This window comes from Homo sapiens, chromosome 7 (genome assembly GCF_000001405.40).
Source record: "Homo sapiens chromosome 7, GRCh38.p14 Primary Assembly".
Taxonomy (NCBI): Eukaryota; Metazoa; Chordata; class Mammalia; order Primates; family Hominidae; genus Homo; species Homo sapiens.
In genome coordinates, this window is record NC_000007.14 from 143,391,124 (window position 1) to 143,418,268 (window position 27,145).

General features: G+C 49.7%; 1 protein-coding gene and 1 long non-coding RNA gene across 2 annotated transcripts in view, besides 7 other annotated features; one reads left to right on the forward strand and one right to left on the reverse strand.

Moving 5' to 3' along the window:
- Positions 1-5: 5 nt before the first annotated feature.
- EPHA1 (EPH receptor A1) lies at positions 6-17,733 on the reverse strand. The gene is made up of 18 exons (NM_005232.5): positions 17,601-17,733; positions 16,488-16,555; positions 10,201-10,482; positions 8,528-8,930; positions 8,135-8,290; positions 7,478-7,822; positions 7,198-7,325; positions 6,797-6,947; positions 6,438-6,534; positions 6,181-6,239; positions 5,262-5,387; positions 4,196-4,381; positions 3,998-4,059; positions 3,685-3,891; positions 3,071-3,220; positions 2,548-2,741; positions 497-652; positions 6-412 (listed from the first exon to the last, which is right to left on the reverse strand). The coding sequence occupies exons 1-18, from the start codon at positions 17,680-17,682 to the stop codon at positions 334-336; spliced, it is 2,931 nt and encodes a 976-aa protein (NP_005223.4). The 5' UTR covers positions 17,683-17,733; the 3' UTR covers positions 6-333.
- Positions 443-1,043: an enhancer, noted in NCBI's record as "H3K4me1 hESC enhancer chr7:143088659-143089259 (GRCh37/hg19 assembly coordinates)". NCBI's record gives its function as "activates a minimal SCP1, AML or CMV promoter by ChIP-STARR-seq in naive H9 embryonic stem cells {active_cell/tissue: H9 hESC(naive)}" and the evidence as "EXISTENCE:reporter gene assay evidence [ECO:0000049][PMID:30033119]".
- Positions 2,353-2,647: an enhancer, noted in NCBI's record as "tiled region #10434; HepG2 Activating DNase matched - State 5:Enh". NCBI's record gives its function as "activates a minimal TATA promoter and a strong SV40 promoter by Sharpr-MPRA in HepG2 cells {active_cell/tissue: HepG2}" and the evidence as "EXISTENCE:reporter gene assay evidence [ECO:0000049][PMID:27701403]".
- Positions 4,385-5,095: an enhancer, noted in NCBI's record as "H3K4me1 hESC enhancer chr7:143092601-143093311 (GRCh37/hg19 assembly coordinates)". NCBI's record gives its function as "activates a minimal SCP1, AML or CMV promoter by ChIP-STARR-seq in primed H9 embryonic stem cells {active_cell/tissue: H9 hESC(primed)}" and the evidence as "EXISTENCE:reporter gene assay evidence [ECO:0000049][PMID:30033119]".
- Positions 4,385-5,327: a biological region, named in NCBI's record as "Sharpr-MPRA regulatory region 2529".
- Positions 5,033-5,327: a silencer, noted in NCBI's record as "tiled region #2529; HepG2 Repressive DNase matched - State 5:Enh, and K562 Repressive non-DNase unmatched - State 20:ReprD". NCBI's record gives its function as "represses a minimal TATA promoter and a strong SV40 promoter by Sharpr-MPRA in HepG2 and K562 cells {active_cell/tissue: HepG2 | K562}" and the evidence as "EXISTENCE:reporter gene assay evidence [ECO:0000049][PMID:27701403]".
- Positions 13,706-14,220: an enhancer, noted in NCBI's record as "H3K4me1 hESC enhancer chr7:143101922-143102436 (GRCh37/hg19 assembly coordinates)". NCBI's record gives its function as "activates a minimal SCP1, AML or CMV promoter by ChIP-STARR-seq in primed H9 embryonic stem cells {active_cell/tissue: H9 hESC(primed)}" and the evidence as "EXISTENCE:reporter gene assay evidence [ECO:0000049][PMID:30033119]".
- The window catches only part of EPHA1-AS1 (EPHA1 antisense RNA 1), a 115,637-nt gene continuing 105,181 nt past the window's right edge, over positions 16,690-27,145 (forward strand). Inside the window, exons 1-2 of the long non-coding RNA NR_033897.1 lie at positions 16,690-16,763; positions 23,945-24,076. This is a non-coding gene — a long non-coding RNA (EPHA1 antisense RNA 1). The remainder of the gene's footprint in view (positions 16,764-23,944; positions 24,077-27,145) is intronic.
- Positions 17,805-18,417: an enhancer, noted in NCBI's record as "H3K27ac-H3K4me1 hESC enhancer chr7:143106021-143106633 (GRCh37/hg19 assembly coordinates)". NCBI's record gives its function as "activates a minimal SCP1, AML or CMV promoter by ChIP-STARR-seq in primed H9 embryonic stem cells {active_cell/tissue: H9 hESC(primed)}" and the evidence as "EXISTENCE:reporter gene assay evidence [ECO:0000049][PMID:30033119]".

The window sequence follows — 27,145 nt, forward strand, 5'->3', positions numbered from 1 at the left end:
AGCTCTTTTGTAGTGCCTGCAGCCCTCATGGGTGGGATGGAGGCAGAAAATCAGTTCCTGTTTATTTACAAAAATATATATATGTGTATGTATGTATATATATTAACCCCTCAGCTCCCTCCCATGATCATCCTTTTACTTCTACCCCCACCTCCCTTTTAAAACAAAGAGGTTTTCTGGGGTGCAGAGCAGGGTTCTCCTGAAAGTGGGCAGAAGCAGCACCGATAGCCTAGTCTGGCAGGTTGTGGGAAGGGGCGCAGGGAGTGACCATGAGCGACCTTGGCCCCGTCCTTGCTCCTTGCACCCTGATTGGGCATGGGGTGAGAGGAGGGATCAGTCCTTGAATCCCTGAATACTGCAAAGAATGCGCTTCTGGTGCCCGGGCAGTGTGATTCCCATCTGCGTCAGGTCCCTGTGGGCAAGGAAGGGTGGGGGCATGAGTCCGGAGGCTCCACCCCCGCAGCCCTCCCCTGCCCAGACAGCTCCAGCTCCTTACTCAGCGGTCAGCTCCAGCACACACTCCATGGTGTCCAGCCCAGCCGAGTGGAAGTGCAGGATGTAGCGTTTCATGCGTATGGACTCGAGCCACTCAGAGACGGTTCGATATGGGATCCCATCTGAGCCACTCAGGCTGGGCAGGCGAAGAGTCATCCTGTGGGACATGGGCATGTCAGTCACAGCGGGTACATGGGCTGATCTGGTTGGCCTTGGCCTCTGAGCATCAGCAGCCAGCACTGAAGTTCGGTGTCTGGGCACAGAGATCATCTAGACTGTGGATTGACCCCACCATTATCTCTGAGCCCACTTCCTGGCCTGTTTCCTGGTGTGCTCACAACAGTGGACTGGCTGACAGTCCTGCTATGTCGACAGGCCTATAGGAAGGGACTGTCCTGGGAAGCCCCAACAGAAGGGGATCACCAGCCGGTCTCCTGCTGGAGTGGCCGGTTCTGGGCACCTGACTGAGGGCTGGTTAAGACATGGAAGTCTCCTGTCTGAGAGGAAGCTGAAAGTAGGAGAACAGAGGCCTGGCACCTGGGCGTGGTCCTGCCTTTTTCCATAGTGGCTGCTTGAGTTCCGGGAGCAGTCCTTCCTCACCACCTTCAGCTTCGGCTGTTATTCTTGCACTCTGACACCCACAATACAATGAGTGTTCCTGTACTAAAGCTCGCCAGAGCCAAAAACCATTAGCAAAGTAAATCTGCTGGGGGAAAAAATATCCAGCATTCCAGAAAGATTAGCACACGCAGTCTCCAGTGTATGAGGGAGTTGCGCTCCAAAAGATAGTTTCAAAAGTTGGAACTTAGAGCATGTTTTCTCCCAGAAACAAGGTTATATATGGTGGTTGGATACAGAGGCCAGTTGGCCAGGCTGGCTACCCAATAAAGCACTTGAAGAACAGCCTTGCCTGCTTCCCCAACCTGAGCGCTCCCCCACCCCCCCATCAGTTCATTCTCTACACTCAGGCCATATTTTTGGTAAAATGCAGCTCTGACCATGTCCCCCCATCCTGTGGACAGCTTTTAAGAATTGGTTCTCCAGGCCAGGCGAGGTGGCCCACGCCTGTAATCCCAGCACTTTGGGAGGCCGAGGTGGGCGGATCATGAGGTCAGGAGTTCGAGACCAGCTTGGCCAACATGGTGAAACCCCGTTTCTACTAAAAATACAAAAATTAGCCGGGCATGGTGGTATGTGCCTGTAATCCCAGCTACTCAGGAGGCCGAGACAGGAGAATCACTTGAACCCTGGAGGTGGAGGCTGCAGTGAGCTGAGATTGCGCTGCGTTACTCCAGCCTGGGCGACAGAGCAAGACTCCGTCTCGGGGTGGAAAAAAAAACAACAACTCTGCACTCATGGTAAAATCCAAACTTCTCAACAGGGCTGGTCCTCTTTGTGTTGACTGGTTGTCTCTCCAGCCTCATGGCTGCTATTCCTAAACACAATGCCGCAGCCATCCTGCACTATCTGCAACCTACCAGCCCTCAGCTCCCCACAGACTAGCCATGTGATCCAGAAGCCTTCCCAAACCCTGCAAGGCTGCTGCTACCTACCCCACCCCAGCCTGGCTGCCCAAGCTCCCTGGAGCTTGGGTAATAAGTGCAGCTGTATCTCCAATGTCCAGCAAACAGCTTGCACCAGTAGGTCCTCCAAAACTTCATGAATGGATGACCCTTTCCTTCACATGCAGAAATATTTCTATGGGGAAGGGGATGCATCCCAAGAATGGGCCACAGTACAACACAGTGGGATTGGCAAGGATGGCTCCGGGAGTGTCTTAGGTGAGGCTGCCTGAGAAGAGAAAAGATGGGCCCCCCACCCCCAAGCCCAGGTGAAGTGAGGGAACTGGGGCCCAGCCATAACTGATTTTCTGCAAATATGCATAATCTAAAGCTGACCTCTTGGACTCTCCCCAAGGGCACGTCTTGCCTCATACACTGGACTTGGTCCAGAGCTCCCCAGGCCCAGCGCTCAAAGAAGATTGGCTGAATGCCCATTTCCACTCTCCTAGCGCTGCCTCTGGGTTCCCTAGTCCTTCCCCTGCATGGTTACCTGGGGTCAAAGTTGGCAATGGTCCGCAGGGAGTGGGGGTTGGCAAGCAGTTGCTCCAGATGTGCCTGAAGCTTCTGGAAGTGTGGCCGGCGGGCACGGTCATATGCCCAGCAGTTCTTCATGAGCTCATACAGAGGGGCAGGGCAGTCCACAGGAGGGGGCAACCGGTACCCATCCTCAATGCTCTTCATAACCTGCACGGCGGGACAGGAGGATGCTCTAGAGTAGCAAGCTAACCTGGAGGCCCATGAGAAACCGACGGTCACACAAGATAATTGCAGTGGAGATCCTAGGATGGGAGGAGGTGGGAGGACCAGGGTGGGACGATCACAGTGGGAGGATCAGGGTGGGAGGAGTAAAGAGAGCAGGGCATGAGGTGAAGAACCAGAGGAGCCAGGAGTACAGAAAAACTGAAGGTCATGAATAAATAAAGATATTTGCAGGAAAAGGCCATGGGAGGACCTTGGGAGGAAATAAGAGGTGTGAATTGGAGACAAGATGAGGAAGAATATTCTGGGCTCACCTCCTGATTGCTCATCTCCCCATAAGGCTTGTCCCCAAAGCTCAGCACCTCCCACATCACAATCCCAAAGCTCCACACATCGCTGGCTGTGGTGAAGATCCGATGGGCAATGGCTTCAGGGGCTGTCCAACGGATAGGGATCTTTCCTCCCTAAGAAGGCACATGGGTCAGGGACGGAAAGTTATGGTGTCCACCTGAGCACGAGTCTTTCTGCTTCTTTTATTGTATTTTTATTTTATTTTTTTTGAGACAAAGTCTCGCTCTGTTGCTAGGCTGCAGTGCAGTGGCGCAATCTCGGCTCACTGCAACCTCCACCTCCCAGGTTCAAGCGATTCTCCTGCCTCAGCCTCCTGAGTAGCTGGGACTACAGGCGCCTGCCACCATGCCCAGCTAATTTTTTGTATTTTTAGTAGAGACGGGGTTTCACCATGTTCGCCAGGCTGGTCTCGATCTCCTGACCTTGTGATCCACCTGCCTCGGCCTCCCAAAGTGCTGGGATTACAGGTGTGAGCCACCGTGCCTGGCCAAGTCTTTGTGCCTATATACATGTGACTGTATGAATGGCATGTTACGGGGCAATGTGAATGTGCACTGGGTTTGTACCGGCCTCTAACCTGGGTTTCGTATGTGCCATCAAAGTCATCCAGGAGGCGAGTCAGGCCAAAGTCAGACACCTTGCAGCACAGGTTTTGATTCACCAAGATGTTTCTGGCAGCCAGGTCCCGGTGGACATAATTGTGATTACTGAGGTAGTTCATGCCAGATGCTATGCCCTGCAGCATGGCCACTAGCTGCCCAGGGACCAGCTGGTCCTCCCGCTCCTGCAGCAGGGTGAGTGGGTGAGTCAGGGGATGGGCCAGGTCTCCTCCCAGTGCCCAGGGTACCATGGTGCATCCCCCTCCCCAGCTAGTCCTCTGCCCTCCTCACCCTCAGGAAGGCATCCAGGGCTCCATTCTCCATAAATTCTGTGATGATCATGATCGGCTTTCCTGAGACACAGACACACATATCACACTCAGAACCGGGCTTCCTGCCCTTGGCCACACATCCTCCCTCCACTTCCAGTGGTTTCACCCCTCTTTCCTGCATTTCCCGCCCCCAGCTGAGGGAGACCACTCATCGTACGCTTTGTGACGACGCCTTCCAGATGCAGAATATGCGGGTGGCTAAACTGGCCCATGATAGTTGCCTCTCGAAGGAAGTTCCACCACTGGCCACCTGGGGATGTGTCTTTTAAGGTCTTAATGGCCACAGTCTTGCAGTCCTGGCTGGGGAGCCTCAGGGTCCCTCGATACACTTCCCCAAACTCTCCTGGGTAGAAAGAAAACAGGCTGTGGCCCGATGCACTGCAGGGCTCCTCCAGGGGACAGGCAGCAACCCCTCCAGTCCTCCGGCCCTTTTCTTTTCTGGAGAATCAGAAGCGTGGAGTGCCCTTCCTGGGACAGGGCGTGGGCTGTCCTTCCTGGGGAAGGTCAGAGTCTGGAGCTGGAGTGCAATGCCGTGACCTATTCACCACTGTCTCCCAGTGTTTGCACAGTTCTTGGCTCACAATAGGCGCTCGGCAACTGCAGGGTGAATGAACCCTGTGGAGCGGGACTGGGCCGTGCTCATGAAGAGCAAGCTAGTGCGGCACTAGTACCCAAGTGGCAGGGACGCTGGCTATGGCCGCCTCTCTTCTGTGAGCTCCTCTGGTCCCAGCTTGCCTGGCTCAGCTGCACAATTGGCAAGGACACCACCAAGCTTTGTTCTCCACTGAGATCCATTTCCTCTGGTGACCCAAGGGAACAGGGCAGCCCAAGGACACTGGGCCTCTGATGGGGTGGAATGCCAGGCTAGGGAGGGAATGAGTCCTACATTTGGGCATCATCACAGAACATCTGGACCCTCAGCACAGCAGCACCTCTGTGGATGAAAACAGTGTATTTAATGCCCTTTATCAGAAACTCCAAAACCACAGAAGCAAGTGTGTAGGAGACAGGGGTTGCTCCAGGGCACCTGATGAGGGGTTTTTAACAAGAACGCAATGGTTCAAAGAGGATACAGAGCAGAGCAGAGTGAGTACCTCTGGAAACTCTTGGACCAGAGAAGCCAGCTGGGCTGCCCAGGGAAGCGCTGGAAGGAAGGGGCCTGCTGGTGGCTCTGTGCTGCCCCACATGGCGGGGGGCCTGCTGCGGTGCACAGCAGGACTCACCTTCTCCTATGACAGTGTCCACCATCAGCCACGCTGGATCAAGCTCCCGGGTAAAGTCCAGGGCTCCCTGTGCAGGGTCCTCGTATGCCTGGAGGTCCACATAAGGCTTCAGCCACAGCTTGTCCTCTATGGGCAGAACATGAGGTTGGGGAGTACCAACATCAGGGCTCAGGAGTATGGGGGTCAGGAGAAGGGCCAGCAGCGGACCACACACTTCTCCACACCTCCCTGTTTCCCAAGGTGACTCCTGTTTGGGCTGAGGTGGGAGAAAGTCTCCATTTAGCAACTAGGCCTTTCTTCTCCCTGTCTATGCTCCAAGCTCCGCTGTCCTCACTCCACAAGGTCCGGGGCGGTGGCCAGGATCCACACCCGCAGAGCATATTTGCTGCCTGAGTTGCCCAATCTTCTCAGCGGCCAGTCCCCACACTGCTCTGGTCAGTCACACCTCGTTCACATTCCCAGACAGAGCCGCGCATGGCTCCCACCCCAGCTGCCCGGATGGACCCCTCACTCTCCCCTTTGTGGGTCACCTAATGAGGTGACAAGCAAGAAGCTCATAAGCCTCGGAGGACGTCAATCCTCCTCCCGCCTGGCCTCGGCCCACAGCCCTGGCCTCCAGGATGGGGAGGGCTGTCCAGAGCCCAGGGTGACAAGACAGCGGCACCAGCAGTGAACGGACACTAACAGATAATTGCATCAGAGCCACTGGGGGGCTACCAGTACATAGTTAATTAACCAAAGTTAATTAGGTAGCAAAACACAAGAGCCCTGGGGACAACAAACCCCACATGTGCCCCCAGAGTTGGCCTAGCAAATGTGTCCCTTGATCCCTTCCCAGTGGCATCTCCCAACACACACACACACGCACACACAGGTGTGCACACGCATGTGGGGACACACGCAGGTGCACCCGACTCACCTCGATCCACATCGGTGGCGCGGTCACGCTGCCTCTGCTGCCTCTGCCGCTGGGCTCTCCTGTGGGGGTTGGGGACCAGCTCCTTCAGGGCCCCAGGACCACCTCAGGGGTCCGAGGGACTCTGGCTGAATCTTCCCCAGAAACGGGCTGGGAGTGCAGGATGGGTTTTGATACTAGGGGATGGGAGGGTCGTTGGGGCTGCAGTCAGGGGCTTCTGACCCAGGGCTGGTGGTTGGGGAGGGGGCAGGAGCTGGCACCTGGACCGGAAAACGAGAATCCCAAGCAGCAAGGCTGCACCAAGCAGCAGCCCAAAGATGACGGCTACAATCTCTCCTCCAGTCAGGCCCCTGGACACTGTAGGCACAAAGGGATGAGGAAGTGTTGGGACTCACAGTCCGTAGGAATGAGGGGGGTTAAAGGGCAGGGCCCTGGGTACACCTAGGGTCAGACCTTTCAGTGTGCATCAGGTCGGTGTCTGTCCCCTACCCCCGGAAGAAGGGAGTGTGTGTGCATGTGTGTAGAGGAAGAGGAAAAGTCACTACGTGGAACAGGAGCTGAGTTGCCTCAGTGAGGCAACAGGTGTATGTGTGTTGGGGCAGAGCACAAGATACCCCACCTGGTGGGCTGGTCCGAAACTCATGATCAGGGGAGAAAGGGCCAGGACCCAGTGGGGTCAGCATTCGGACTCTGACGATGTATGTGGTGTCAGGCTGCAGCTCTGTCAGCAAGACCCTGGGTTCTAGAACCATCTGGTACCGTTCTTCATCCTGTGGGTTGGAGTTGCATTAAGTGGGCAGTGCTGAGCCAGACCCGGGTGGATGTGATGGACAGCATCAGAGCACATGGGGAGGGGCTGGAGAGCAGAATGGTTAGGACAGGGTTCTTCATAGACTTTTGTCCTGAGAAAGCCACACAGTGGACTTCGGGTGGATTCCTCCCAACCCACACCCCAGGCTAGGAATGTTGGGGTGTGCCCGGGCATGGACACTGAAGACCATCTCTCAGTAGCATCCTGACCTGGTTCAGCACGTGCAGCTCATAGGTCAGGTTCGCCCCAGGGCTTCGGGGCCGGGACCCCGCCCAGGTCAGCTCTAGTTGCCTCGGTTCTTTCTTCACCAGTCTCAGAGACAGGCCTGACAGTGACTCTGGGGGTCCAGAGGGATAAGGTTGGATATGTAAGGAAAAAGGAAATAACCTTAGTAACTTTTCTATGGCTTCCTGCCCATCAGTTTGTTCTGTGGTCTTAAGCCCTTCTGTCTCCACCAGGTCCCTGTCCCAGCCCCTCTCAGCCTCTCACCTGCATGCCCCATGCTGATGCTGACTGAGGTGCTGGCATGGCCAGAGCTGCCCAGCCCTGACACTCCATTTTGGGCTTCCACATTAAAGGTGTAGTTGGCATAAGGTTCAAGGCCATTGACATGCACTGCAGGTGTGGTGAGCCCCCGGGCCCCCGGCGAGAAGTGCACGCCCACCCCACAGGGCTGGCAGGGCCCCCCGTCCTGTGCTGTGCCCTGACACTGGGAACACCTCACACTGTATCTGACATCCTGGCGTCCCCCCGTATCTGCTGGGGGTTCCCAACGCAGGGAGAGCTGAGTCCCTGAGGCAGAGAAGCTCAGGTTTCGGGGGGCCGAGGGGGGACCTGTGGGAGAAGAGGAGCCATCAGTAGAAGCCGACCTCGCTGTCACCCGAGCTGCTGATCCCCGGCCTCCACCACCACCCAATTCTCGATGTCCTCTGAAGTCCTCTTGGGGAGATTTGATTTCTACTGGGTTTGACTACATCTCTGCATTCTTCTAGGGAGAGCAGGGTGCCAGGGCAGGGGCTAAAAGTGCCTGACACCCTGGACCATCTCCAATATCTGACAAGCTCTGGAAAAATCCAACCCTGACAAAGTCTCAGCAAAGATCCAGCCCCTCCCTCCAGATGGCCACGCCCCACCCCCTGGACTCACCTGTGCATGCCACCTGGGGGCCCTCCCCGGGAGCTCTGTAATGGCCGCTCTCACAGGTACAGATGGTGGCCCCCTCAGACTCAGCAGTGCTCTGCTGGGGGCACGTGAGACAATGGGGTGTGTCCATGTCCATCCGGTAGGAGCCGCTAGGGCAGGCTGGAGAGAGAACGCAGCAGAGCAGTGGTTCTGTAAATGTTTTTACAGGCAGAACCACCACCACCCCTTCCTGCCCCAATCCCTTCTACTGGAAACATCTCTGCATGTGTGTGTCCGCTGCTCTGGGACACTCAGGTTAAAAACCCACTGAGGCGGAGCACTGGCCTCCTTCTCTGCCGGGGTACTCCTGCAATCCTCCCGAGTGGTTCCTCAGGTTCTCACCGCCTCCGTTCTTACCAACACATGCTTCGCCACTGCCACCTTCCTCATAGCCAGGCTCACAGTGGCACCGTCCTACAGGCACCAGCCACTCGCCATCAGGGCTGCAGTGCATGCGGGGTGCACCTGAGGGCCTGGGGCTGGCCCGCGCGTGGGGCAAGCAGGTCCCCGCCACTTCCACCAACCCAGCGGGGCCAGGCAGAGTGTCTGGGAATTGGGCCAAGCCATTCAGGGTCTCAGGACAGCGCTGGTAGAAGACCCGGACAGACACCAGGGCCACACAGGCACCCGGGTTGTGGAAAGCGAGGTAGAGGCCACGGCGGGTCAGGCGGCCCAGAGAGCAGCGCTCCACATTCAGCTTCACGGAGCCAGACACAAGGTCTCGAATGGTGAAGCTCTGGTCTGCAGCCACCGTGGTTACCTGGGTAGAAGGTGGGGAAGAAAGGGGAGCAATGGCAAAGTCCTGCTTCTTTCCCACATAACAGAAACAATCGTTTGCTTAATACTTTCCACAACCATGAACACTGAGCCTTGTATGTGTGAGGTGCCAGGCTAAGCATTTTATGTGCATTATGCTATTTAGCTCATGCAATCCTCTTATGAGGTAGGATGGCTTATTGTCTCTATTTAATAGATGAGGAAACCAAGGCTAATAGAAGATAAAGACCTTGTATAAGATCACACAGCTACCACATCATGGGGCTAGGACTGGAATCCAGGCATTGGGACTCTACAGTCCATACAATTTCTGCTATTCAGAGGCATTCCCAAACTCAGTGCCAATAACATGATGAGTTATAGAGCATATCGTTATCAATTTATTACTAGTAACAAATTTTACAACATTTTCTCTTTGGAAAGAAACAAGAGCATATCCTATCATAAAATGCTCCTTACTCTTCTGCATCCCAGGATGTTTTTTTGAGTAGGAAAGAAAGGGATGTGCTGGAGAGTACTAGCCTGCAGGGAATTGTCTTGCTACATGACTCCAGTGATACTATGGGAGTGGGTTGCTTATGAACATCGTGGGTATCAATAGGAAAAGTCTAAATAACTCTGTGCTACACTTCCCTCCTCCCCATGGTATCCTGTGATCTCAGTGGATGCTTATAAAAGCCTATAAAATAGATATAGCTGGCCCTATTGTTGTCACTATTTTATGACTAGGCAACAAAAGCTGGAGAGGTTAAATGACACCCCCAAAGTCACGGCACAGCAGAAAAGATACTCAAATCCAGCCCTTCTGATTTCCAATGCCACACTGTTCTTTTTTTCTTTAGAGACAGGATCTTGCTCTGTTGCCCAGGCTGGTGTACAGTGGCACAATCATAGATCACTGCAGCCTCAAACTCCTGGGCTCAAGTGATCCTCCTGCCTCAGCCTCCTGAGTCGCTGGGACTACAGGTATGGGCCACCATGCCCAGGTGATTTTTAATTTTTTGCAGAGATGAAGTTTTGCTATGTTGCCCAGGCTGGTCTCAAGCTCCTGGCCTCAAGTGATCTTCCCACATCGGTTTCCCAAAGCACTGGAATTACAGGCACAAGCCACCATGCCCAGCCTTCAAGCGCCAAATTCTTTTCAAGATTCTACCTCTGCACCCTCTTCCTGTCTCTGCAACCTTCTCTGGCACCCAATAAGGAGCCACCAGGGATCTGCACCAGGACCCAGATGGCATGGAGGGAAGCAGCACCTTCTGGAACAAGGGCCGTCGGAGCTGAATGCCCACATCCTGGTCACTCTCCATGTACAGAAGGTTGAAGGTCTCCTTGCAGCCCAGAGGCCCGGCTCCCCCAGGGAAACTCTTGCAGTCCCGCACGGTGAACTGCAGCTCCACGTGGACGCGGGAAGCCTCCTCCCCGCGGTAGATCCAATTGGAGCGAAGCCAGTGGTCAGTGTCTCTGCGTCCTTGCATTGGGCAGTCCTGGTACATGTACAGGGGTGTCCCATTCAGTATCTGTTGCTGTTCACTCCACTGCAAGGAGGAAATCAGAGTCAGGGACCAGATCATCCCCTGCTCCCCAAACCCTTGGTTTTTAGAGCTGATGGAGAAGCAGCTGTGTCAGAGCCCCTCAGGTTTATGCTACTTGTTCTGCCTCTCCCCACCCCTCAGCTCCAGGACAGTAGACTGAGTGTTTAGGGTTGGGGATTTGTTTGGATATAAGATGGGCAAGACAATAGTCCCTTAACATCCCTAGTTGATCCTGGTCCCTTCAGTTAGTCTAGTCCACTTATTTCATCAGCAGAACAGCCAGGTACCCCCAAGGCAAAGCTCATTTACAAAACCCTTCTGTTTCTTCAAGAGGATATTGGTGAATTTTTTGTTTTTCAGAGACAGGGTCTCGTTCTGTCTGCAGCGCAGTGGTATAATCAAAGCTCACTATAGCCTCAAACTCCTGGGCTCAGTCTCCCAAGTAGCTGGGACTACAGGTGCCTGCCAACACACTGGGCTATTTTTTCTTTCTTTTTTTTTTTTTTGGTAGAGATGAGTTCTTGCTATGCTGTCCAGGCTGATCTCAAACACCTGGACTCAGATGATCCTCTTGCTTGGCCTCCCAAAGCCTGTGAGCCACCACACCCAGCCCAAGATTTATTTTTAATTATTAAAACCCTTTAGATTTGGAGGGTAAGAACAAGCACAGAACTGTACAGAGGATTCTCATCCTCTCCAATATTTCAATTATAGCCATCATCGAAATCAACAATTGACAGATTTGGCTGGACTTCTTGATACTATCTAGTCTACTCCCCTTAACTTTTTGTTTGTTTGTTTGAGGCAAAGGTCTCACTCTGTCACCCAGGCTGGAGCTGGAGTGCAGTGGCACAATCTTGGCTCACTATAACCTCCGCCACCTAGGTTCAAGCGATTCTCCCACTTCAGCCTCCTGAGTAGTTGGGATTACAGGCATGCACCACCATGCCTGGCTAATTTTTTGTATTTTTAGTAGAGACAAGGTTTTGCCACGTTGGCCAGGCTGTTAGCTTCTTTTATCTGAAAAGAACTTTTAAACTTAGTAATATTAATGGCTAGCACTAACATAGTGCTTACTGTGGCCCAGTCACCGGTTTAAGCACTTTCCACGAGGAAACTGAGGCACAGGGAGGTCGAGTGACTTGCCAAGGTACTCAGCTATGAGAGGCAGAGCTGGGAAATGAGCCAGACACTCCAGGTTCCAGAATTCATGCCTTTAATCATTATACCTCTGTGTGCTTATTGTGAAAAGTCAAAAAGTAAAGACTTACACAGAATAAAGTTTAATTCCCTCACCCTCATCCTTCCACTCTCATTCTCAGAGGCAGCCACTCTCAGCAATTGTTAGCAAAACTTTCCAGACCATTTTTCAATGCCTCCAGAGAACTGCTTGAATGTTTCTGAGTTTTGCTTTCAACACGGGATCATACAAGTGTTATTTTGTAAGCTACTTTCTGTTTTCACAAATAATAAGTATTTGAGGGCCGGGAGTGGTGGCTCACGCCTGTAATCCTAGCACTTTGGGAGGCCCAGGAAGGCAGATTCCCTGAGGTCAGGAGTTCGAGACCAGCTTGGCCAACAAGGCAAAACCTCCCATCTCTACTAAAAATACAAAAAAATTAGCTGGGTGTGGTGGCACATGCCTGTAATCCCGGCTACTTGGGAGGCTGAGGCAGGAGAATGGCTTGAACCCAGGAGGCGGAGGTTGCAGTGAGCCAAGATCTCGCCACTGCACTCCAGCATGGGCGACAAAGCAAGATTCCCTCTCAAAAAAGTCTTTGAAAGATAGCCACAAAAGTGTATATAGAGCTTTCTTACTTTTTTTTTTTAAAGCAATCCATAAGTAATACTCCATTGTAGAGAAGGCCATAATTTATTTAGTCCCATTCACCTATTGTTGGACATTTAGACAGCTTCTAGTTTTTTTTTCTTTTTAAAGAAATCATGTACAGATTGATGTAAGATTTCCATGGAACTGCCATATCAAAGGGTAGACATACTACAGGTTTTATAAGATACTGTCAAATTGTCTTCCAAAAAAGGTTTATCAATTTACACTTCCACCAGCAACACAAGAGGGCTCATTTTCTCAAAACTTCATCAACACAGAATACTAATAACCTTTTTGCCTTTTGCCAATCCTAGGGTCAAAACACAGCTTCTTAGCATTTTAATTTGCATTTCTTAGAGGAGGAAGTTGTATATTTCTCTTTTGTTCATTGACTATTTGTATGTTTATGCAATTATCTGTCTATAACCTTTGCATGACATTCTATTATCTTTTGATTACTCAGTTGGATGAGTTTCTTTTTTAAACTTATTATAGACACGAATCATTTCCTTCAAATGTATGTTTCAAATATTTTCTCCCTGTCTGCCATACCACTTAGCTTTGCTAATGATGTTTTGATGTGGACTTACATTGTAAATTTCTTACATAATAACATCTACAGTATTTCCCTTCATGATTTCTGGGTTGTATATTTGACTTGGGAAGTTTTCCTATCTCAAGATTATAATGATCTATATTTTCTCCTAAAATTTGTGTAGGTTGGCTTTTAGGTTGAGATTTTAGTTTTCTTAGAATGAATTTTGTGTATAATGGAGAGATATATCTTTTTTTTTTTTTTATGAGACAGAGTCTTGCTCTATTGCCCAGGCTAGAGTGCAGTGGTGCGATCTTGGCTCACTGCAAGCTCTGCCTCCAGGGTTCACGCCATTCTCCTGCTTCAGCCTCCCAAGTAGCTGGGACTACAGGCGCTCGCCACCATGCCTGGCTAATTTTTTTGTATTTTTAGCAGAGATGGGGTTTCACTGTGTTAGCCAGGATGGTCTCGATCTCCTGACCTCAGGATCCGCCCGCCTCGGCCTCCCAAAGTACTGGGATTACAGGTGTGAGCCACCGCGCGTGGCTATGGAGAGATATATCTTTATATATTTATTTAAAAATTATGAATATCTAACCGTCAGTTTATTAACTAGGTATTACTTTCCATATTGATTTGCAATTCCGATGCTATCACATACTACAACCTCATATGTGTAGGCTCGTTTTTGGACTTTCTATCCTGTCCCATTAACCTGAGTGATCTTGTGCAAGACATATGTTTTAGTTATAGCTGATGGTTCTGATATCTGCTTGTCAGACAAGTCTCCCATTTCATTCTTCAAAAACTCTTCTCAACCATTCTTATTTCCTCTGTCAGATGAATTTTCAAAAGCTCTCAAATTCTATAAAGTATTCTATTGATATTTTTGTTGCAACCCCATAATTTAATGCAGAATAGACTGAGGCCCTTAGAAAGTTCACTTTCCTGAGGTTTCTACTCCATTATAATGCAGGGGCCCTCATCCCTACCCTCAGCTCTGGGAAAAGGCAAAAAAAAAAATCATTAATCAAAAATTTGGGGTGAGGTGGGGCAGAAATAGAAGCTGCTATGAGGCACATATTTCTGCATTATGTTAGGGAGTTCAAAGATTGGGCAAGGGGTGTCTAAAAGGCAAGGAAGCTGGAATGAAAAAGGCACCAGGAGGCTTCTCCTAAGGAAGGCTGTGCTGGGGAAGCCCAAGTGGAAGGCACTGGCGGGGGTCAGGTGGGCAGGGTGGTGAGTGGTTAACGTGCAGCTCATTAGCCAGATTGCCGTGGCTGAAGCTGGAGCCAGGAGAAGCAGATGTTCCCAGCTGTGCCTTGCCTCTCCCAGTTCCAGCAGTGACAGATGGGCGAGAGCCAGCTGTCCAGGATCAGCAGTAAGGATCCTTTTGCTTATCACTCAGGCGCTGCTGGCTGCCACATGGGTGCATTCTGGACCTGAATGCCTGCGTGTGCATGTGTGCGTGTGTGTGTGTGTGTGTGTGTGTGTTTTGAAAAGATGGGGAGAAGGAGGGGGACAAGGTAGATAGTGGGAGTGTATGACTGCTGGCTGTCTCCTTGCCCTCCTAGCATGCAGGACTGTTTTGCCTGTGCTGAGAAAGTGGCCTTGCTGCCATTCCAGTCAAATTAGGGAAGAGTTATTTGGGTGGAGGTGTCAAGGGCCCAAGGAAGGCCCATGGGAGCCAGAAGTCTGACCTGCAGCTATCACTGTGGGTGATTAGCTGATTTATGAGATAAGTCAACTATTAGGGCTGGATCTTCCAAACGGCCCCTCCTGGAGGATCCACTATGGTTTAGTCTATTAGCTCTAATTACAGGCTACTCTGTAGGAGAACAGAGAACGGAGCCAGGACTGTAGGACCCAGAGGGAAAGAAAGCAAGTAACCCTGACCCCAGAAACAGGGGCTGGATTGAAGTCTCAAGTACTGGGGTAAGGAAGGAAACCCTGAGAGAAGGGGTTCCAGAGCCAGAGTTGTAGATGCTCCAGTAACTTAGGCAGCCCCCTAAGTGGTTCTGTGACCAGCTGTGCTGCTGGCAGAAAGGGTGCTGTGAATTGTAAAATATATATTTGGTCTTTGTCCACATTTCCTGGCAAACAACCCCTAAAGCCCTCAAAATCCCTGAAGTGACAAATGTCTTTTTATATGCTAGTGAGCTGACTGCCGGGGATGGGAACTAGACTGGGGTGGGGGAGGCCTGGGTGGCAGAAGGCAACCTTGTGATTGGAGTTGGGACTTTCGGCCCCACCCCCAACTTCCAGGGAAGGTAGAGAGGTTGAAGGTTGAGCTGATAACCAGTGGGCAATGATCTAATTAATCACGCCTATGTAATGAAGTCTCCATAAAAGCCCAGAAGGATGGGGTTGGGAGGGCTTCTGGATGGCCATACATGATTAGGTCCCTGCAGGGTGGCTCGCCTCCTTCACATATACCTTGCCCCATGCAGCTATTCCATCTGGTGTTCATGGTACCATTTGTAATAACCGTTATAGTAAGCCAGTAAATCCAAGTCAATGTTTCCCTGAGTTCTGTGAGCCATCCTAGCAAACTAATTGAACCCGAGGAGGAGGGTCAGGTAAACCTGATTACAGCCGATGGAACAGAAGTATAGGTGACAACATGTTACTTGTGATTGTTGTCTAGAGGAGGGCAGTCTTGTGGGGCTGAGCCCTCAACCTGAGGCTATCTCCAGGTAGATAGTGTAAGAACTGAATAAGATTAGAGGACACTCAGCTACTGTCCACTGAAGAATCTGCCAGAGAGAACTGACTGCAGGCGGGAGGAATCCCTACACGCATTTTGGTGACCACAGGTCACCGAAGTGATTTGTGTTGAGAGTGCAGTAGGAAAAAACTGAGTTTGGTTTTTTGTACATCATAAGAGCTGCTCTCTGCATTTGAGTCTGAATATGCTCTCTCAGACCCACCTCACAACCTGTTCACTGAGTCTTAGGAACATCCAAGGAAGGAAGGGAACTGGAACAAGCTCTGACACTTTCAAACAGCTGGAATGCATGGTGTGCACGCAGTCAGCCTGAGGAGGTGTGGAGGATGAGCTAAGGGCTCAGAAACCTTTAGGGGAGCAGCTTTTAACTTCGGAGGAGTCAAAGACCCTTTGAAGAATTTGATGAAAGCTTTGGCTGGTCTCTCCAGAAAAAAAAATGCCCGCTTACATATACAGAATTTAGAGTACACTTTCATGGGGTTTCCCCACCCCCTGAAACCTATCAATGCAACTTCATTGGGATGAATGGATCTCAGATTGAGGATGCTTTTCTGCCTTTTCTATCCCTCCCCAAGCAAAGCACTGGTCTCAGCCTTCAACCATCCCCAGCATGGTGCATTCTCTCCCCGGGTATGTGAGCTCCTCTCCCCCTCACAAGTATCAGCTTGTATTCACAATATTCCCAAGTATTCACTGGAGGAGCCAGGCCATTCAAGCGTTCATCTTGAGGTGAAGTCTGACCCCCCCACCCCTTGTCCCATTGAGGAGGCTCTGACTCAGCCTCCTCTCCCCCTCCCTGAGGAGACACTTCCAGTTTTTCCTGCTCTTTTCTCTGTTCCTCCACCCACCTCTCCACCCCATTTCCCACTGGCCTTCAGGAGTTTTCCAAGATCCTTCCCTCTTCCGACACTTACCCCATCTTTTGGGGGATCCAGCAGCCAGCCCAGCTCTCCCTGTGCCTTGCTTGTGTCCATCAGAGTAACTGAAAGTGGGGAGAAAAGAAGTCTGTCACCTCTGGGGGAGGAGGTGCCCCTGCAGCCCACATTAATCATTCTGGGGCCTCAGCCCCAGGCTGCAACATCCTGTTCCTAAAAGCTGTGACTTCCTGAGGCTTAGGGGAGAAAAAGGGCTCAGGACTGAGGAGTGAAGAGCTCCAGGGATTTCACTCTTCTTTGTGTGTGTGAAGGAAGGCAGGTAGAGTGGGACAAGGGTTGGGGCGCTGGGTCTTTGACCAAAGTCAATGCAAGAAGAGCAGCCCCACGAGACGCTCAGTTACCCAGGCTGCTGCGTCCTGGGACACCCATCAGCTGCAGGATTGGAACGCGTGGAGGGCAGGAGGAGCTCACCTCTGCTAGCCAGGAGTGGGCAGGGTGGACCGGGGACCTCAGAAGGGGTTTCCTGGGTAGGGAGGCTCACCTCCACTGTCCGAAGCCTGCTTTGGCCTGACCTGGCCAGTGATCAGAGCCGTGAAGTGGGGATAAGAGGCACAGCTACCTGCCTGGGAAGTGGGGGGGAGTAAGGCCGGAGAGGGTGTTCCAACTTTCACATGGAATATTCGACTCGGACAACTGGGAACCCCTGTGGCGTCAGTCCTAACCCTTCTCCCGGAGGCAGCTCCCTCTGTCCCTGGCCTAGGTTGGCAGGAGGCGACTTCCCACCTTCAACTTCCAAGGGCTCAGATCTCTGGGGTGGGCACCTGAAGCTGGGACTGTCTGGGAATGCAGGCAGGGGTGCGGGTGCAGGTGCTACTTCCTGGCAAGGGTCCGGAATTCCCTCCCCACTCCCAGGAGCAGATTGCTGGCCTGCGGGAGTGGGGGTGACTGACCCGGGAGAGCAGCCGCTTGGGGTTAAAGACCAAAGATGGGCCTGGCCAGTCGATAGCCTGGCGGTCGGGCACAGCGAGAGAGCTGGCGAGGGTCTCGGGGAACATGGCCCCTAGGAATGCCGGCTTCTGCAGGGGGGTGCTGGCCGGGCCCCGGGAAGGGGCGGGGCGCGGGGGTTGGGGGCGCGGGGGCGGGGGTCGGTACCTTCCTTGGCGCGCGCCCCCGGGGGCAGCGGGGCGCAGAGCAGCAGCACCAGCCCTAGCCCCAGGGGCCAGCGCCGCTCCATAGCTCCGGGCCGGGACCTGGGACAGTGGCCCGGATGGCAGCGCCAGGTTGCAAGGGACTAGGAGAGCCGGGCGGGCCGGGCGGGGGCGGGGGGCGGGGCCAGCGCCGGGGGCGGAGTCCCGGCCTCACCTGGTTCACCTCCTTAAAGGGACAGTAGGGCAGGAAAGAAACTTGCTAGACTGGTAATCAAATTCAAGAACCGGAGGCGTCTTGACCCGAATGAGACTGCGGGCGCCGCCTAGTAGGTGGGATTAAGAATTGACGAACCTTTTCCCAATTCTAATCCTAAACTCAACCCAATCTTGATCCAGCTTTTAACCTAATTCTACCTCTGACTTGAATTACACTCCTATATTCCTCTTTCTGTCTTTGTGCAGGCCCCAGAGCTGGGTAATAGGGCCGGGGAAGGCAAGGGGTAAGAGTCATATCTTCACCCTCTAGCAGGGGAGGCTTAGATGACCACAATGCAAGGTGGGGTACAACCTGCAGTGAAGCATCTGGAGATTAGAAGAGGAAGCAAGCCCAGTCATCGGGGCACATTAGTTGAGTCTTCAGGGAGAGCTGGTGTGACCTGGGTTTTCAGTGGCAGAGATTGGGAAAGGCACCAGCAAGGGCCTGAAGGCAGGGAGCCTCAAGGTGCGCCCAGGGAGTGGTGAATGGACCAGTTTGACTGCTGGGGCGCAGGATTTGTCTTGGGAATCAGGGCAGAAAGGCAGGTGTGGGCCAGGGCTGGGTAAACAAGAAAAGGAGTTTGAACCTTGACATGCACTTACACAGCAGACATGAATATCTGGTTAAGGTTCCAGCCACAGGTGGCAGGGAAGGATATTTTAACCCATCTTAGTGGTGTCAAACCACGTGCCCTCTCACTTTCTTGCGGACTTCCTTATATTCTTTTTCTTTTTTGAGATGGAGTCTCGCTCTGTGGCCCAGGCTGCAGTGCAGTGGTGCAATCTTGGCTCACTGCAACCTCCGCCTCCCTGGTTCAAACGATCCTCCTGCCTCAGCCTCCCGAGTAACTGGGATCACAAGCGTCAAGCGTGCACCACCACACCCAGCTAATTTTTCTATTTTTAGTAGAGACGGGGTTTCACCATGTTGGCCAGCCTGGTGTCGAACTCCTGACCTTAGGTGATCCCTCCTGATCTCAAGTGATCTCCCTGCCTCTGCCTCCCAAAGTCCTGGAATTACAGGCCTGAGTTACTGCGCTCTGCCGAGACTTTCTTATATTCTATTTAGTAAATGTTTGTTCAGTTTCTGCTATGCATGCAGGAAGCTCTAGAAGCACCTAAGAACAGAAGGACAATGTCTTGCCCTATATAAGCTATTAATTTGGGGATGCTGGGGGTTGAGACATAAATAATTGCACAAATGATTGAAATGGCGGGCAGGAGTGGACCCCAGGCAAGGTACACACAGGGATCACAGTAGCTCAAAGGGGAGTGATGCATTTACTAAAGAGGCTGGGGGTCCACTCCTGGCCCCTCCTTCTTTCGCTCCATCCCATCTGGGTAAATTGTTCATAATTTTTCTATCATTTACATTGTTGCACATTTCGGTACTGTGAATGAAGGGAGGTGGTGGATTATAGGTGCTTTTTCTCATTTTCAAAATGTAATGCTTCTCAGGTTTTTTGTTTTTTTTTTTTGCTTTCTTATGCAGATACGTATATGACAAACACGGCCCATCAGTTCTTGGCTCAGACTATCCTTATTTGCATAAATAAATGTAATTCATGTACATTGGTTAGGAAATTCATGTTGAACATACAGAAACAAAATGGGAAGTAGAACCCTCTGCCCTCCAACACTCTAATTTCTGTTCCCCAAGTTAACCACCATCAACTGTTTCTTGTAAGTCCTCCCAGGATTGCTTCCTCGCTGTGTACACACCATCGTGTATTTTTCCCTCCCTCTCTCCCTCTACTCCCACACTTACATGCTTTTAAAATGTGTATACAGAGGGGCCATCTGACACACATTGCTCTGCACCAGAGGCCTCTTTTCTAATGTTAAAGACTCCAGGAAGGAGGAGGAGGCTCACGCTGGCTGGCGGGGGTCAGAGCTTTGTGATTTCAGCAGGGAGGAATGGGCGAAGGGTACAAAGCCAACAGAAGGGGGGAAATGGAGCAAGCGTTGGACAATTGCTGCTAGGACATAAGCCAGACTGTGGTGAGGTAATGCATGTGCTTGCTGCTGCAGTTTGTTAAAGTTACAAGACCCTTGGGACTCCAGAGGGTGGGGGGTGGGGGGTGGGTGTGTGGAGTGGGGGAGACTGCTCCATGCAGTGAGACATGGAGTCTAGAACCCTGGAAAAAAAAGTCTTGCTTTTTGTTTTAGGATAGGCTCTTTATCCTGGTCTGAAAGTCTCTGCATATGGGGAATGAATGTCCACTTTCTGTCTCCTTTCAGGATTATCTTGATTTGACATTTTCTGGTTAGTTTGTCATGAGAGGAGGCACATCTTCAAGTTTAGTCTCTGTTCTTAACTAGCAGTACAACTTTTGTCAAATTATTTATGTTCTCTGGACCATGGTTTCAGTTTCCCTAGACCTAGATGATTTCTGAGGCTATATTCAGGGATGGTCTCAGAAAATAAAAAGCTAGCAGGATTTTGAGTCAGGAGACTTTGGCCAGTTCCCTTAGCCATAATGTGCCTCAGTTTCCTTAGCTATAAAATGAGATTAATCACGTCCACCCCACAGAGTCAGTGTAATGATCAAAAGAGGAGAAAGTGCTTTATGAACTGTAAGGTACTGAGCAAATGTTAATTGGCTAGGAGAATGGTGGAGGCTAGGAATTGCTGGAGTTCTCCTGCAGGCCTCCCAGCTTGCTCCCAGAGCAGAACAACCTCAATTACTAAGACATCATTATTTTTCCATTCCAAAATCAACTTTACTGAGGGACAACTTGCATAAAATAAGTTGCAGCCATTCCAAGTGTACGGTTCAATGGGCTCTCACAAATGTATATGCACCACCACCTCAGTCAAGATGCAGAGCAGTTTCAGCATCTAAAAACATTCACTGGTGCTCCTGTGAATCAATCCCACCTCCAGCCTTAGGGTTTCTGTCCATTTGGGTGAGTTTTATCCTTTCCAGAATTTTATGCCGTCTCTGGACTCTGGGTCTTTCTCTTTAGTATGATGCTCCCAAGATCCATCCTTCTAAGACTCATCCTTCTAAGATCCATCTTTCTTGTTGCCTCCATCAACAGTTTCTCTTTTTCGATGCTGGGCAGTATTCCCTATAGAGATGCCCTAAGACATCATTTAAAATTACAAAATCAAACCCCAAAACTCCTCCTTTTTTTTGGTCCCCTAGGAACCACAGGCCTCGTAGCAGACAGGGCCTCCCAGAGGGACACCTCTTTCCCCTTCTGGCGTCTGGCCCTGTTCTCATTCTGCAGTCAGAAAGGAAAGCCTGCAGAGTCCCTGCAGCCCAGGCTGTGGCTTGTTCTTACAAACTTGACGTTAACACTACCCTGTTCATATTATTCCCCTTCTACTCCCTACCCAGCTCCTTTCTGACTGAGGATAAGGTGAAATTACACCCAGCCTAGGTCATGGTCTTGTATATCCATAGGCTCTGGTCAAAATGCAACCAACATCACCAGCAGGGTAACCCAGGATGTTGCTAGCAACTACTATGAGAGAATTAGTACAAACTAATTTTTTGGACTAGTATTGTCAGAGGCATGTGAACCAGAGCAACTCCATCTTGAGTAGGGGCTGGGTGAAATGAGGCTGAGATCTACTGGGCTGCATTCCCAGACAGTTAAGGCATTCTAAGTCACAGGATGAGATAAGAGGTAGGCACAAGTTACAGGTCATAAAAACCTTGCTGATAAAACAGTTTGCGGTAAAGAAGCTGGCCAAAACCCACCAAAACCAAGATGGCCACTAGAGGGTCCTGGGGTCGTCTTCACTGCTACACTCCCCCCAGCACCGATGACAATTTACAAATGCCATGGCAACGTGAGGAAGTTACCCTATATGGTCTAAAAAGGAGAGACGTGAATAATCTACCCCTTGTTTGGCATATAATCAATAAATAACCATAAAAATGGGCAACCAGCAACCCTGAGGGCTGCTCTGTTTATGGAGCAGCCATTCTTTATTCCTTTATTTTCCTAATCAACTGGCTTTTACTTTACTCTATGGACTCACCCTGAATTCTTTCTTGCATGAGATCCAAGAACCCTCTCTTGGGATCTTGATCCAGACCCCTTTCCTGTAACAGTATCAAGTCCCCTAGCAAGGGCCCTCATGGATGGGACCCAAACGACTTTGGTTGGCTGTTGTGGGCCAGCCCAAACTTGCAGGCAGCAAAATCCAGGAGACCGTGTGGGCTGTGGGAGGGAGGAAATGGCACTTACCAGTACAGCCTTCTGGTGGATTCTGCACGTCTTTAATCATAAGCCTAGTTAGGTCCTTCCCTTTCCTTCTTGTCTGTGTTCTTACCTATCTGTTCTCTGATCCCCATTTACCACCAGGCAACAGGGGCGGGGATAATAATAGTTACCACTTATTACAGCACCTACGCAGGCTGCCGCACTTCACATACATCGTTTCATTGACTTCTCACACCAACCCTCGGAGGAAGGTATCATTAGTCTCATTTTATAGGTGGAAAAATCTGAGACACCGGGAATTAAAGTAGTTCAAAGTCACTCAACTGCAGAACCAGGATTTAAACCTAGTTCTGTCTGACTCCCAGTCCTGTGGCCTAACCTCTATTCAGGGTTTCAAGAAGCAGAGATGTTAGCAAACACCTCACTTTTGTTTTACTACCCCGCCCCCCACCTGAGAGTAATATCCTGACTTAAAACACCACGGAGTGGATTTGCCTGTTTTTAAACTTTATGAAACGGAATCATCTGATATGCATTCTTTGGTGTCCGAGTTCTTTCATTTACCGTTACGTTTGGAAGATGTATTCCTTGGTTGTGTGTGGATTCAGTCTCATTGCTGTATGGTATCCCACTGTATAAAGAACACCTTATTTTTAAAAACTTCTTGACCTGTGGTTAAACAGGTTTAGGTTCTACCTTTGAATTGCTACATTGAGCGACTTTCATGGTTTATCCGGCTTATCTGTGTCTCTGAGAGGTTTAATCTTTCCAAACAAAACGTACTTCCTTTTTTTTTTTTTTTTTTTTTTTTTTTTTTTTTTTTTCAGGTGGAGTCTCGCTCTGTCGCCCAGGCTGGAGTGCACTGGCGCAATCTCGGCTCACTGCAAGCTCCGCCTCCCGGGTTACGTCATTCTCCTGCCTCAGCCTCCCGAATAGCTGGGACTACAGGCGCCCACCACCACGCCCGGCTAATTTTTTGTATTTTTAGTAGAGACGGGGTTTCACCGTGTTAGCCAGGATGGTCTCCATCTCCTGACCTCGTGATCTGCCCGCCTCGGCCTCCCAAAGTGCTGGGATTACAGGCATGAGCCACTGCGCCCGGCCGTACTTCCTTTTTTAAACTAGACTTTTGCTAACCCAAATGATTCTTTTTTTTTCTTTTTTGAGATGGAGTCTCACTCTGTTGCCCAGGCTGAAGTGCAGTGGAATGATCTCGGCTCACTGCAACCTCTGCCTCCCAGGTTCAAGCGATTCTCCTGCTTCAGCCTCCTGAGTAGCTGGGATTACAGGTACCTGCCACCATGCCCGGCTAATTTTTGTATTTTTAGTAGAGACGGGGTTTCACCATGTTGGCCAGGCTGGTCTCAAACTCCTGATCTCAAGTAATCTGCCCGTCTTGGCCTCCCAAAGTGCTGAAATTACAGGAGTGAGCCATGACACCCAGCCTCCTAACAACTTTTTAATTGATTAAAAGTATGCAGAGGCGGTCTGTAAGCAGTGCCACAGGTCCCAATTATACACCCTCCCCCTTAAACCCTGCATGTCCTCCCTTCTTCCAGTCAGTTTGCTAAGAGGAAGACACCCGATACTGTTTAGGAATCTGTCTTCTTGCTAGAAATAGAACTGTTTTGAGATAGAGGCGGTTGGAAGTTTTCTCTGAAGTGTCAAAAGCAAAGTTATATTTTAGAAGATTTTAATATTGTCACTTCATAGCCAAGTGATCTTGGGCAAATCACCTAGCTGTTTTGAGACTCCGCTTCCTCATCTGCAAAATGGGGGAAATGATGATAATGTTGTTGGTCATAGTATATGAGAAAAGTACAAATATGAGAAAGTGTACAAGCAAAAGCTTCTGGTGGCACCATGCAATTTAAGGATACATGTTTTTTATTTTTGTGTCCTCCTGTACAGGTTTATTTGCAAGATGGGTTTGAGGGAATTAAGGATAAAGTCTGCTGAAAGTAGCACCAGCCTCTGGATTAAAAGGGATGTTTGGATGAAGCTTCAATCTCAAGAAGAGGCAAGAGAAAACTAAAGAAAAAGGTAAGAGAGCCGGGTGTGGTGGCGGGCGCCTATAATCCCAGCTACTCAGGAGGCTGAGGCAGGAGAATTGCTTGAACCCAGGAGGCGGAGGTTGCAGTGAGCTGAGATTGTGCCACTGCACTCCAGCCTGGGCAACGAGCAAAACTCCATCTCAAAAAAAAAAAAAAAAGATGCTAAGAGAGATCACTTTCGACCCATTTACATTATGATGCAATATGAAAATAAAATAAATACCACTCTAACATTTTCAGGACATATGGCAATTCTCCCTGTGCTGATTTTTTTTAAATGTATCTCTGCAGTATTAACATCCTCTAAATCATTCTCTTTGTTTTAGAGACAAGAAGGTAGTTGACAAGCTGTGAACCTGCATTGCATTCTAGTGATGGGACACGTGGAAGGGGAAGCTGAAGTTGAAGGGTGGATGGTAGCAGCCACAGGGAGTGAGATGGGCTCGTTTCTGGAGCTGTTGGGAGAGAAAAAGGGAGTCAAACGGGAATTCACACAGGGTTGTGCATTATATCCAAGTGTGTATTCAGATACAAGCCTTTATCTCAATACCTTCCTTACCCCCATTCCGCACATATCTCATACCAAAGTACAAATAAAACCATTCCCAATTGTTCTAATATTTCATTTGATTTCTTGAGTCATGAAATGAAAATGTGGAGGGGTTAGTCATGTGAAGTGGCTGTGACTCAAATATCTTACGATGATATTTGTGCGCGTCTCATGAGAAATCATTGTGTTTCCACCTGAACTTGTTTGCTTGACTGCCTGAGAAGATAGTGTTGCTAACCTGAGAAGTTAATACGCTGCCTTAATGCTTGGGCTGGTAGAAGTGAGGGAGGGAAAGGAAGAGAACAAATGTGTCTCAGTGAACTGGGGCATGACAGAAATTTAATAAGAACAGGTTGAGACAAGTGTTAAATACTGGAATCCCCCGGGAGCACAGCGATAGCTTGGTCCTTGTCAAAAAGTGTACTGGTTGGAGCTCAGGAGGGAAAGAGAAAGTGATAAATCAGCCATGTCTTGAAGTCCATTTTAATTTAGCTAGCCTGCGAGAAGAGAGGGCTGAAATAAACTATCAGCTCTGTCTTCTGCATTAAGCAAGCATAATTTATTTGAAAAACATTCAGTTTTATTTCTAGCTAGGCTAGGAGTTCTTGTAACTTCTACAGAGGGTTGGGAAGAAGATCGGCATAACCCATGCTTACTATTTGAAGTTACTGGTTCTGTTGTCAGGAGGTAATATTATATTGTTGTCTTGTAAAAGAAGTATTTGATAAGTATGGGACCTCTTAATTGGGCACAGATTGGATTTCTTTTACATTTTGCTTTGAAGAAGTTATTTATAAAGGGATCGTAATAGGGTAATTTATATCTTTTTCTAACAAGTTCTAGTTTGAAAGTATTATAAATCTACTTACCCAGACACAGACACATTTGAACATATAGATAACAACCACCTCTGTTAAGAAATTAATGTACACATTTCCAAATCTATCCCTGAGTTTAGGCGATCCAGGCCATGGGTCATAAACTATGAGAGCCACCTAGTGGGAAAATTTGGTAATTGCACCTATATCTTCAAATTCTGGGTGTGAGAGCCACAGATAATTTCTGTTTATAAAATCTTAGAATACCATGGGAATATTTATCAACATGATATGAAAGTGACAGCGATTTTTATATATTCCTACTATTATAAAGATGGTAGGCCCTTAGGCTAGGAAGTAGCTTTCTTAACTTGACCTAGTCATCACAGTAATGATAGACTTTTGACCAGGTGAGGAAGGGAGGGTGGGGTGTGCCACCATGTTGCCTCACTTTTGGGCTTTCTGCTTTGGATACATATGAAAAAACCAGAAACCAAGTCACCTAGGAGGCGCTGGCTGGGAAAAAAATGGTGCCCACTGTTTGTAGTGTGTCTGTTAGGTTGTAAGCTAGAGAGAGATGCTTACACTCTAACTTTTTTTTTTCTGAAGAGATGAGCTCTCACTATGTTGGCAGACTGGTCTTGAACTCCTGGCTTTAAGCAATCCTTTTTTTTTTTTTTTTTTGAGACGGAGTTTCACTCTTGTTGCCCAGGCTGAAGTGCAATGGCACCGTCTCGGCTCACCGAAACCTCCGCCTCCCAGGTTCAAGCAATTCTCCTGCCTCAGCCTCCCAAGTAGCTGGGATTACAGGCATGTGCCACCATGCCTGGCTACCTTTTTGTATTTTTAGTAGAGACAGGGTTTCTCTATGTTGGTCAGGCTGGTCTGGTCAGGCTGGTCTATGAACTGCCGACCTCAGGTGATCCGCCCGCCTCGGCCTCCCAAAGTGCTGGGATTACAGGTGTGAGCCACCGCACCTGGCTCTGATTAAGTCTTCTTACACTGAAGCTGCTGTGTTGTCTGAACAGAGCCTCAATTAAGAAGTGACTGAAGCTTTTCCCCTCCCTCCCTCTCTTCCTTTCTTCCTTCCTTTCTTCTTTGTTTCAACAGTTCTGGGGAAGTACTAAATATTAGACCAAAATTAAAACCTGATACCCACCGTACTGAGTGTTTGCTTAGAAAGTTCTTGTTTGTTTTTGAGAAGCACTAGGAGTTAATGGAATGGGTATTTAGTGGCCTTTGGATTCTGTAGACTCCTAGCTCTCTGCCTCCTATGTGTAAGGCCTTGGACATTTCTCTTAACCTCTCTGAGACTGAGCTTCTTCACATGCAAATGGACTCATTTACCTTCCAGGAGCACCTCTGTGGGAGGGGGATGCACCATGTGAAAGAGGTAAGCCCTAAGGTGGAGGCAGAAGCAAGTGGCCAAGGGAATACAGGAGGCTAATTTTGACAGGAACTGTATGGGAAAAGGTGGCCTTTGTGTTGAGCCTAGTAGAATGACTTCAATAGGCAGTTTTTATTCATTCATTCAACAAAAATTTATTGAGATCTTATTATGAGTCAGGCACTGTTCTAAGTGCTGGGGATATACCAGCAAACAACAAAATAGAAAAAAAAAAAAAAAACCCAAACCCCACCCTCCCTGAGTGTACATTCTAGGGGGAGGAGCCAGACAGTACATAAAAAA

Excerpts from the sequence above, each read along its gene's own strand:
- EPHA1 (NM_005232.5), bottom strand. The coding sequence starts at position 17,682 with ATGGAGCGGCGCTGGCCCCTGGGGCTAGGGCTGGTGCTGCTGCTCTGC. Across the intron at positions 6,240-6,437 it reads ATTCTCGTTTTCCGGTCCAG|GAGAGCCCAGCGGCAGAGGC; the intron begins GTGCCAGCTCCT and ends CAACCCCCACAG. Across the intron at positions 3,892-3,997 it reads CCCTGGATGCCTTCCTGAGG|GAGCGGGAGGACCAGCTGGT; the intron begins GTGAGGAGGGCA and ends ACCCTGCTGCAG.